This window comes from Homo sapiens, chromosome 7, assembly GCF_000001405.40.
Source record: "Homo sapiens chromosome 7, GRCh38.p14 Primary Assembly".
NCBI lineage: Eukaryota > Metazoa > Chordata > Mammalia > Primates > Hominidae > Homo > Homo sapiens.
Window position 1 is genome coordinate 15,930,877 of NC_000007.14, and position 12,173 is coordinate 15,943,049.

Below are 12,173 nucleotides of genomic sequence, written 5' to 3' on the forward strand. Positions count from 1 at the left end.
AGGAAGGAGGCTGGGGGTAAGGGAAAGGGTTGAAAAAGGTCTTCTTCCAGTGTTTCTATAGTTTCAGGTCTTACATCTAACTTGTTAATCCAGCTTGACTTAATTTTTCTATATGGTAAGAGATAGGGGTCTCATATCCTTTGCAATTGAGCTTCTTAAAGTGTTGTTACATTTACTATTTCGGCTTCTTTTCTTCCCAGTTCTCTCCTCAGTTAGCTTCAACCAGCTTTGTTGAATCCATTATCCTTCTAAAATTATCCATACCTAGATTCCAACGTCTGATTGCAAAGCCTATCTTAAGGTTATATAACAGTTGTCCTGTCTCCTGAAATGACCTTTCTTGGCTTTTACACACCTGCTAGCTTTGTATTCCTCCCATCATTGTTCAAAATTGTTCTCAGCCAACTTTGTCAACAGTGTTCTGCAACTTCCAAAATTGTTGGAGTTTTTCTGGAGTTCTTGGCTCTTTCTTCAAGGTTTTATAATAATCAGAAGGTAATACCATTCAGTTTTTTGGTCTTATTTACTCCATCCATAACTCTAATGCAAATCTCTATTTTCAGTGTCAGATCCTGCTCCACCCCTTACTCTACTCAGTGCAATCCCACAGTTCTAACTGTGAGTTCATTATCTTCCTCCATCCTCTCTATTGTTCCATTCATCCAGCAAAACAAACCAGGAACTTGAGACTAATATTTGACTTTTTCTCATCTCTCCTGTCTCTAACTCACCACACAACTATGAGATGAAACTTTCTAAAATTGTACCCAGTTATGTAGGCCCCTTGCTTAAGTCCCCTCAATGATCTTTATTGTCCTCAAGATAAGGCCCCATTTTGTTTGCAAAGCTCACTAAAACTTTCATGAACTAAACTTCTCTCTCACCAGAGATACTCTATTGTAGTTATGCCTTCTCTGTCTTGTCTAGAAAGGCAGTATAATTCAGCAGAGTCTTGCTGCCTAAATTTGAGTCACGTGGTTTGCTATCCATGTGATGTTTATTTGTATGGAGCTAGAGACTGAATTTTCCCAGGTCTCAGTTTCCCTTAATGTTAAAATAATAATAGTATTCATCTGGGTATGTATGAGACTTGACATCAGACCTGCAAAATCCTGTGATGGTGTCTGGCAAATAGAAATCACTCAACAAATTGTAGCTGTATTCATTATTATTAATAGTAGTATTTCATTTTATACATTAAATTTCTCCAGGGCAGGTGCTATGCTAAGTATTCAGTACATATTAATTAAATAATTGTTACTTGGATATAAAATAGTAGAGCTCTACCTTATCAAGCAAACTAATTCACTTCTTTAAACTCTGAAATAATTGTGCAAATTAAGCCACTTGAAAGAATTGAGGTAAGTATACTCTGGGAGGTTACAGTAGAAATAACATATTGTAATATATATAAAATGAGAAGAGACAGTAAGACTAACCCAGGAAACTCAATCACTTCACATGTAGAGGCTTGAGAAATATTTTCTGAAATATCTAAAAAACAAAGGTTTTCTGTTAATCTATTGTGCCTATGCCATTGGAGAAAGTAAACTTCGTAAAATAAAGCTCAACCAAAGGATGTCTTTCAAGCTTTCTTATTCAAACCTTCTGGCAGAGACTGAAAACTCAACCACTTTACTTATCAAAGACTGCAATCAACATAGCAAAGCTTAAGAAAGATTAGAAATGAATAAGCTGCTCCACAGACTCTGAAGGTTATTAGAGTTTGATAGAGTCAGAGGCAGCCACACCATATGGTTGCTGAAAAATTCACTCATCAAGGAGAGTCATAAAATTGCAGTACATTTCTAAAGACATAAACCCCCTACCTGTTAAGGATCAAAAATAACCAGGGACAGAGAATTTGCCAGGAAGGAAAGTAAAGCAGGAGTAGAAATCTTCAAAAACACCATTCCAGGATTTGTACTATATACAACTGCATAGCGGACAGAGAGACCTGTGAATTGTCTTTAGACAATACTGCCTCAATACTTACCCACTACTGACACATGCCCATACATGGGGTGTTTCACCAGTATGTGTCCTGATTCAATTACTGCCATGAATTTTCTCCTCTTCCACAAACTTTTCAGAATGAGGCAAGCACTATTTTTTTAAATAAATCCACAACATTTAGGTATAAAAGCATATATATTTCCAAATCAAAGGAAGTCCAACTCTGAGTCACTAGTGAGAAATTCTATCTCTTATACTGCAAAACCCCAGGTCCCAAGGATTGTATATAATTCAGAACAATTGAAAAGGACCACCAGTTTGGGGTTTTTTTTAAATTTTGTTTTCCATTATTCGTGGATCAAGTGGGAATGGTCTTCTGAGGGTAGGAGTCACCACTTGTCTCTCACCAGGCTTAAGAGGGGAAATTTTGCCCAGACTGGCAGCCTCAGTGTGCTGGATCTAGCCTTTCTAGGATCACCCTAAAGTTATTACCCTCCAAAGTTCTTCCACTTCCTCAGAGGTTTGCAAAGAAGCTGGAAGTGAGTCTTCCGAAATAGCATAAATCATGAATTGTAACTAATCAAAATGTGACTTTATTTTTGTTTCCCACAGACTTTTTAGGCTTTATTCAATGGGTAATTTTTCTTCATTCTTGGACGAAAACTTAGGCCCTGTGATTTTCTGCACATTCTTATGGGATTGGTTGCCGTAAGTCACAATCATTGTGTTATTTCAATAATTAGCATGTCCAGAACAAGATTTTAATTAGAACTTTGAATTTGTTTAAGTATAAATCTCTCTTCTAGTTTGGACCAGCTTTATTCTGGAGCCTGCAAAAGGCATCAGGACAGTGGGAATCAGATATTTTAAGTCAGCTGTTCTCACTGCTCTTAGCACATGATTAAACTTGACTCTTGTGAGGCACTTGCATAGGCTTTTCAGAGACGCTCACCTCTAGAAACTTCTATCCTGAAGTCCCACGGCCATCTGCTGTTCTAAGCAGATACTCTGAATTTTTCTTTCAGAATCTAGTGATAAACTCTAACTAGCCTCTCTCTGATGGGATATTCACAGTCCTCTAGTCACCCTCTTCGTCATGATCTTAGATTACCTCAAGCCAACTCTCTATTCCACGTGACCAGCCACTGACCTACCAATCACACTCTCACATCGTTTGCTCTGACAAACTCTGAGGGTGCAGGATGTTTGCAATGCTGCAATGCTCTGTGGGCTCTGTCACCAGGCAATTGGCTTGTCTGTCTTCTGCCCACTACTGCTGTCAATGTGACCCCAAACTGCAGAGACACACATGGCTTTCTGACTTATCTTGTGAAAGCCTTCCTTACCAGGCTTAAGGAAGTGCCACAGACCCAGGTACATTGTGTGGAGGGTGCCAAATTGGTCACAGAGCTCACAATACCATTTTCCCAAAGACATTGTCCTCAGAAATCTGCTGTCTCCACATTTCAAACTTTTGTATATTCTTCATCTGCTGAGAGTTCTTGGAGTGGTGAAGATGGAACTCAAGATATTTTATATAAATATATACTGCATATAAAGATATGCCTCATATCCACTCTGGTATCCCAGTCTCTCTTATGGTAGCATATTTGAAATGGAGTCAACCTGAGTCTCCTAACACCCTGTCATAGCAGTATCATCTGCCAAAACCGCAGCATTTCCAGTTTGGGGCAGGCTCCCAGACTTTCCTATAATATTGCTACTTCTTTCTCTTTCATTGATCTCTAGAAAAACACACAATTTCTCCTCAATTTAAATTGGCTTTTAAATCCTCCATTCTTGGATTGGAGTGGATAAATAAGATGCTCAGACCAATTTTATTTTTTTCTTATGAATTGATCCCACTATATGAATAATGAAAGAACTGCAAGGGTTTCTCATGATCTACAAAGATCAGTTACCGCTGGAAAATTATATATGTTTTATATATTGATATACATTATATGTAATTTCCTCAGAGTAAAGAATACATGTATAAATATACACATGTATATATGTGGTTTTAAATTTTACTATCCAAATATTGAATGCATTTGAAAGCTCTGACAGCATTTGTGATGAATGAGAAATCTCTAATTGCTACTGAAACACTCCTTAGACATGCCAAGTACGTTCAAAAGAAACTTTTAAAACTTTCACTGAGGGTGAAAATATCAAAATCAATAATCCTAATAAACAACTTCTTAGTATTCCCAGAGATATTCTGACAGATGAGAGAGAAGATTGTTCACCTCTAGATTTTTCCCTCTTTTTTCTTTTGATATCGAGTGAGCATGTATGTCTTATTTGTGTGCAGAAATATAAATAATGCAATGAAGGATCACAAAAGAGGAGCCTCCTCACAACTGATGAGCCATTTTTTTTTAATTAACAGAAGAAAAAGATAAGGACCATACTGAAACAATTGTCTGAGGTCCCAGAGGTAAACCTTAATACCTGCATTTTAACAAGTGTTTGAAATTGAACCAAGTATTGGAATAGAGGAGGATATAAAAAATGACTATGTTGTCAATTATTTCACACTTCAGAAAAATAATACACATTTGAAATCTGGCAAGCATGAAAAAGGTCACGTGGAAAAGAACTCTGCTACAGATGAAGGTATTGCTTTGCTGTCTTACACATAAATTATTGAATAAGATTACAGTATTTACAAGGAAAGAAATTTTTCAACTGTCTAATGACTAATAATGCCGTCTATCTCCCTCCAAATATGATGAACCTTGAACATTTTTCTGGGTCTATTCAAAATTATTTTCTCATTCCTCGTTGTATTAGATTGTGATAAGAATTTTTCTCTGTGTATATATGTGTATGTGTACACACACATACACACCTATACACACATACACATATATACACATACACATATGGAGACAGATAGTTTATTCAGTTGATGAGTCAAGAGTGGCAACACAGGAGAAAGAATGGTTCATTGTAATTGTTGCAGGACATACGGTATTTTCTGGCCACAGGTAACATAAATAAGGAGGTGATAATGTTCCTATATTTACAATAATTAAAATCTGTGTGGGACATGCTTAGTGACACATTTAAAAGTGTATCTTAAGCACACGGAATAAACAATGATTCATTAAAGTTGTGGAACAAACATGACCCCAATTATGTTTCAAATGACAGGAAGAACCAGGAATGTTTTCTCTGGAGAATACAGCATTCAATTGAACAGCTACACTGAGAAACATAAGAACTATCTTCACATGTTTAAAACAGCTATGTGGAACAGGAGATAAATGTTTCTTTAGGTGCCAGAGAGGAATGAGAAAAAGGTAGAGGGAGATCATGTTTGGATCATAGATAGAATGGGATATCTCAGAAGGAAGCGAGTTGTCTACAATCTGAGGTGGTCAGATAGGTGATTTGAATCATGTCTAGGATGGAATTTGACTTGGCTCATTCATAAAGAGTATTCATACTGTTTCATCACCTAATATCACATTAAACTCATATGGGACATATTCAAATGGGTTAGAGGTAAAGTAGAGAGATACCAGTTGACTCCCTGCCCCGAGTAGGGCCCCATATTGACTCCTACTTTTGGGCCTTGGGCAGAACAGAGCAAGTAATTCAGAGTCACAAAATACTTTTGTGTTTTAGCCCTTTCAAAATGGTCAGCTTCCTCTAACAAGCTCTAAATCTACTCTTTAAAATCCTGTATTTTGTTGTTCAATTAATTTATACCCTCCATTTTTTGTTTTCAACCATAAAACTATTCTTTATGGATTTCATAACTTAAAAATTCATATGCTACATTGACAGCCCAAAAAAAGAAAAGCACTTTCCTTTTTCAACATCTGTACTATTGTGATTTATGACCTCTTTTTATTTGGTTCTCTGTCTTACATTTTTTAGTAGGTGGAGGGATAGGAATCCATTCTTTGAAATGAATCGTATATAAATATCTGAGCTGAAATACAATAACGAGTCTGTCGTGCATCACACAGTAGAACCAGAAAGATAAATAATGTAGCCGCATAAAAATACCTTATTATGCTTATTATAAACACCTTTGATTTTACCTAAACACAGCCAAGTACACAGTGTTCATACTACCCTAGTGTTTTGCATAGAAACCATGCAACATATAAACTTGTATGTGTGTTTATTTTCAGTAATCTCTAATCACTCAGTGGAGTTTAGTGTTAGTTCATCTTTAAATTTAAACCATTATTCTATACACAGGGAGCTATAACATTTTTTTCCACATGGTGTCATATTTATTTCCACAAAGGAAAAGTGATGACAGAAACATTTTTTTAAAAAAAGGGGTTCCAAAAAATATGTATTAAAACAACAGTAGATTTCCCATTAAGCAAAGAATTCAGTACCTCATTTTTCAGCCAGTTGAAGGAGCGCCGAGAATGTACTGGCTTTGGAAAAGATACCTCTTTCCAGCCAAAACTCTTCAGAGAGGTTCAATAAGAATAATTTCCATTCAGGAATTCCAATTTTCATATGCCAGGTGTCAGGACTGTCATACCTTTGGACTGTTTAGTCTTAGCAAACCTAATAAAACAATCGTACATAACCACAAGGAAACATTTTGTTGCTCTTTTCCTCACAGCATCACTTTTAAGTTCAACTAAATTTACGAAAAACCAGTTTTGCATTTTTGAACATCTTGTTCAGATTTCTAAGGAAGATTTTTCTTGAAAGCACGTCAATATAATGAGTTATTAAAATATACACATAAAACAAGAGTGATATTCAAGTGGTTATATACTGAATATAAACCCTGAGACATGAAGTTTAAATGGTATTCTTTCTGGAGAAAAAAATCTGTGGTTGAAATATTTTAGCCTTATCTTACTGGCAGTTCACAGGGAGTCAGATAATGCTGATGGCTGCTGCTTTGTGCCAAACATTTGAAATTCAGTATAGAAAAGGGGCTTGCAAATTGTCTTCTTGACCCATGACTCAGTTTTGTGAGATGATGGTTTCCCATGCAGAGTTTCAAGTTGAAGATGCCCTTGTTTTATTTCTCACAGTTTATAGTTCTACAAAAGGAATGCAGTGGGAAGAATTTCTCAAACTAAATATTTTAAGGGTCACCTACAATTGATATTGTTTAAAGCAATTCCTTAACAACATTTCATTAAAATCTGTTTTAGTTTCTCCATCAATATATTAGTGTTAAGAAAGCAATTCATTTTCATAGAGGGCTGATGTGACTGCTCTATTGCTCTAGCATAGGAGAAAGCATAATATAGATTGCATTTAAAAAATCCTCCCTAGATTACATTTCTCCTGATTTAGAAGATAATAATATAAATTATTTATTTACTGACCTATCCTGAAATGGTTGTGAAGGATCTCAGTGATTCCTGGACTTAAGAATTCCTGGCATTTAGGAAGGAGGTAAGTATTTATTTTGCCCAAGTGCCAGACTATAAGCTGGGTGCATATTGTCTCATCTAAGGGTCTCAAGTGTCCCCTGAGGTCCTCAATCAGTCTTGCCCTTAGTTAAGGGGAGTTCTAAGCCATGACTCATTTTCAAATCACTGGGTCCATGAGGCCCTTTCTGACCATAAATTGTAGTTCTAAATTCAGAGATTCAGTATCAGGTTTAAGACCAAGTCCTTGAGCTGTATTATCAGTTTTAGTAGGTGGGTTCATAGTTTATTCTGCCATGCCTGAGTACTTCTCTCAATAACTGATGTAATACCTCAGTTCCTCCCAGAATGTTTAGTCTTGTTTGCTTTAGCTACATTTCTGCAGTGACTGGAGTCTAGTTCTAGTACTTGCTACTGGTTTGGTATCTTTTATTGCTGGCTTCCAGCATATCCAGTCATAAATCTATTCTGGACTCCTATGATTAAAAACCATCCCTTTGGAATTACAACTAATAACTAGTGGAATGGAAATATTTATAAACCTGTTTATTCTCATAGCAGTGCGATGCTTTGTAACATAAGCCGTTATATTTGCCATGTTAAAAAATGGAGAAAATCATTAATTTTAAAGATTATTGAAGTAATGTGGAAGATGAATTTTTTTATCTTGTCCCCAAGTGTGAAAAATCCTCAAAGCCAAAGAGCCATGTTCATCATTGTATCCCTTGTCACCAAAATGGGACCTGGCCCAAAGCAGCAGGTCCCACCAGCAGGTCTAATTTCCAGGTTCTAATTCTTGCCAGTCTCATGCCAGAGCTTGATTCTGGCATCTGATAGCTTCATTTTAGAGCTTTCATGGTGTTGAAAAAAAAATGTCAAAGATGTCACGATAAGATTTGCAGCTGCAAAAGTTTCTGACAGAGCAGAGCAAACAGTAATAAATTGAGGCAAAAGGGATAAAGAGAGAGTAGGCCTCCTTTTACCTCTAAAAGCATCAAATATATAAGGTGAATCAAGGTGACTTAGTGCTTGTTCCACAGAGTCACACTTGACAAAGGAAAGCTTTAGCTTAAAAAAATCAATGTGTTAGGGTAAAAGTATGTAACCTGCATCTTCTTCAAGATTATCCTAATTTACTTAAATTACAGATATTTTTTCTGTATTAGTTTCCCTAGCAATTGATGTTCCCATGCATGGACATATCCAGGGTCAGGCATCAAAAATCTAGAATTTTGTTTCCTATAGTCAGTAAAGCATGGAAATGTGAACAACATAATACATATTACCTTGATTCTTCTTTAGTCACTATTAAAAGTAAAATTTATACATTTGTAAATTTATAAAAATGCACAAATATACTCTATTTCATACATCTAGTCACATTATTAATAATCATGAGATAAAATATGTAGTATTAATTGAATGTGAACATTAATCTCTGTTCTGCTAACCAATTAAAATTTAAACACAAAAATATGGCTTACCAATGAGAACAAATCATTTAAGTATTACAATAGATAATAATTTTTTGGACAAGGGAAACCTTTTCATATTTTTCAATGACAGTATTTAGTCCTTTTTAGTAACAAAAAGTATATCCTCTCAGCCATCCAACAAAGTGACCATATAGCAGGTACAACAGGAAATGCTTTTGGAAAATGCCAAGCATTCAGAAATTGACATCTACAAGGTCCATAAAAGAATGTCTAAATGACAAGTTTTATATGGTTGTGTACAAAAATGCATGTAGCCTATAGAACTCAACAGTATATTAGCCTTCTTAAAGAAATATTCGTGAATCCTATACACACACACACACACACACACACACACACACACAGAGAGAGAAAGGCAAGAAAGACAAAAGTGTTTTTAAAAAATGCACATTAGGCTGGGCGCGGTGGCTCAAGCCTGTAGTTCCAGCACTTTGGGAGGCTGAGGTGGGCAGATAATGAGGTCAAGAGATCAACACCATCCTGGCCAACATGGTGAAACCCCATCTCTATTAAAAATAAAAAAATTGGGGGAGGAGCCAAGATGGCCGAATAGAAAGAGCTCCGGTCTACAGCTCCCAACGTGAGCGACGCAGAAGACCGTGATTTCTGCATTTCCATCTGAGGTACCGGGTTCATCTCACTAGGGAGTGCCAGATAGTGGGCGCAGGTCAGTGGGTGCACGCACCATGCGCGAGCCGAAGCAGGGCGAGGCATTGCCTCACTTGGGAAGCGCAAGGGTCAGGGAGTTCCCTTTCTGAGTCAAAGAAAGGGGTGACGGATGGCACCTGGAAAATCGGGTCACTCCCACCCGAATACTGCGCTTTTCCGAGGGGCTTAAAAAACGGCGCACCACGAGATTATATCCTGCACCTGTCTTGGAGGGTCCTACGCCCACGGAGTCTCGCTGATTGCTAGCACAGCAGTCTGAGATCAAACTGCAAGGCGGCAGCCAGGCTGGGGGAGGGGCGCCCACCATTGCCCAGGCTTGATTAGGTAAACAGAGCAGCCTGGAAGCTCGAACTGGGTGGAGCCCACCACAGCTCAAGGAGGCCTGCCTGCCTCTGTAGGCTCCACCTCTGGGGGCAGGGCACAGACAAACAAAAAGACAGCAGTAACCTCTGCAGACTTAAATGTCCCTGTCTGACAGCTTTGAAGAGAGCAGTGGTTCTCCCAGCACGCAGCTGGAGATCTGAGAAGGGGCAGACTGCCTCCTCAAGTGGGTCCCTGACCCCTGACCCCCGAGCAGCCTAACTGGGAGGCACCTCCCAGCAGGGGCACACTGACACCTCACACGGCAGGGTATTCCAACAGACCTGCAGCTGAGGGTCCTGTCTGTTAGAAGGAAAACTAACAAACAGAAAGGACATCCACACCAAAAACCCATCTGTACATCACCATCATCAAACACCAAAAGTAGATAAAACCACAAAGATGGGGAAAAGACAGAACAGAAAAACTGGAAACTCTAAAACGCAGAGCGCCTCTCCTCTTCCAAAGGAACGCAGTTCCTCACCAGCAACGGAACAAAGCTGGATGGAGAATGACTTTGACGAGCTGAGAGAAGAAGGCTTCAGACGATCAAATTACTCTGAGCTATGGGAGGACATTCAAACCAAAGGCAAAGAAGTTGAAAACTTTGAAAAAAATTTAGAAGAATGTATAACTAGAATAACCAATACAGAGAAGTGCTTAAAGGAGCTGATGGAGCTGAAAACCAAGGCTTGAGAACTACATGAAGAATGCAGAAGCCTCAGGAGCCAATGCGATCAACTGGAAGAAAGGGTATCAGCAATGGAAGATGAAATGAATGAAATGAAGCGAGAAGGGAAGTTGAGAGAAAAAAGAATAAAAAGAAATGAGCAAAGCCTCCAAGAAATATGGGACTATGTGAAAAGACCAAATCTACGTCTGATTGGTGTGCCTGAAAGTGATGGGGAGAATGGAACCAAGTTGGAAAACACTCTGCAGGATATTATCCAGGAGAATTTCCCCAATCTAGCAAGGCAGGCCAACGTTCAGATTCAGGAAATACAGAGAACGCCACAAAGATACTCCTCGAGAAGAGCAACTCCAAGACACATAATTGTGAGATTCACCAAAGTTGAAATGAAGGAAAAAATGTTAAGGGCAGCCAGAGAGAAAGGTCGGGTTACCCTCAAAGGGAAGCCCATCAGACTAACAGCGGATCTCTCGGCAGAAACCCTACAAGCCAGAAGAGAGTGGGGGCCAATATTCAACATTCTTAAAGACAAGAATTTTCAACCCAGAATTTCATATCCAGCCAAACTAAGCTTCATAAGCGAAGGAGAAATAAAATACTTTACGAACAAGCAAATGCTGAGAGATTTTGTCACCACCAGGCCTGCCCTACAAGAGCTCCTGAAGGAAGCGCTAAACATGGAAAGGAACAACTGGTACCAGCCTCTGCAAAATCATGCCAAAAAGTAAAGACCATCAAGACTAGGAAGAAACTGCATCAACTAACGAGCAAAATCACCAGCTAATATCATCATGACAGGATCAAATTCACACATAACAATATTAACTTTAAATGTAAATGGACTAAATGCTCCAATTAAAAGACACAGACTGGCAAATTGGATAAAGAGTCAAGACCCATCAGTGTGCTGTATTCAGGAAACCCATCTCACGTGCAGAGACACACATGGGCTCAAAATAAAAGGATGGAGGAAGATCTACCAAGCAAATGGAAAACAAAAAAAGGCAGGGGTTGCAATCCTAGTCTCTGATAAAACAGACTTTAAACCAACAAAGATCAAAAGAGACAAAGAAGGCCATTACATAATGGTAAAGGGATCAATTCAACAAGAAGAGCTAACTATCCCAAATATATATGCACCCAATACAGGAGCACCCAGATTCATAAAGCAAGTCCTGAGTGACCTACAAAGAGACTTAGACTCCCACACATTAATAATGGGAGACTTTAACACCCCACTGTCAACATTAGACAGATCAATGAGACAGAAAGTAAACAAGGATACCTAGGAATTGAACTCAGCTCTGCACCAAGCGGACCTAATAGACATCTACAGAACTCTCCACCCCAAATCAACAGAGTATACATTTTTTTCAGCACCGCACCACACCTATTCCAAAATTGACCACATAGTTGGAAGTAAAGCTCTCCTCAGCAAATGTAAAAGAACAGAAATTATAACAAACTATCTCTCAGACCACAGTGCAATCAAACTAGAACTCAGGATTAAGAATCTCACTCAAAACTGCTCAACTATATGGAAACTGAACAACCTGCTCCTGAATGACTACTGGGTACATAACGAAATGAAGGCAGAAATAAAGATGTTCTTTGAAATCAACGAGA

The 12,173-nt window shown here is 38.2% G+C and overlaps 1 annotated feature.

Moving 5' to 3' along the window:
* Window positions 9,574-10,146: an enhancer, noted in NCBI's record as "H3K27ac-H3K4me1 hESC enhancer chr7:15980075-15980647 (GRCh37/hg19 assembly coordinates)". NCBI's record gives its function as "activates a minimal SCP1, AML or CMV promoter by ChIP-STARR-seq in primed H9 embryonic stem cells {active_cell/tissue: H9 hESC(primed)}" and the evidence as "EXISTENCE:reporter gene assay evidence [ECO:0000049][PMID:30033119]".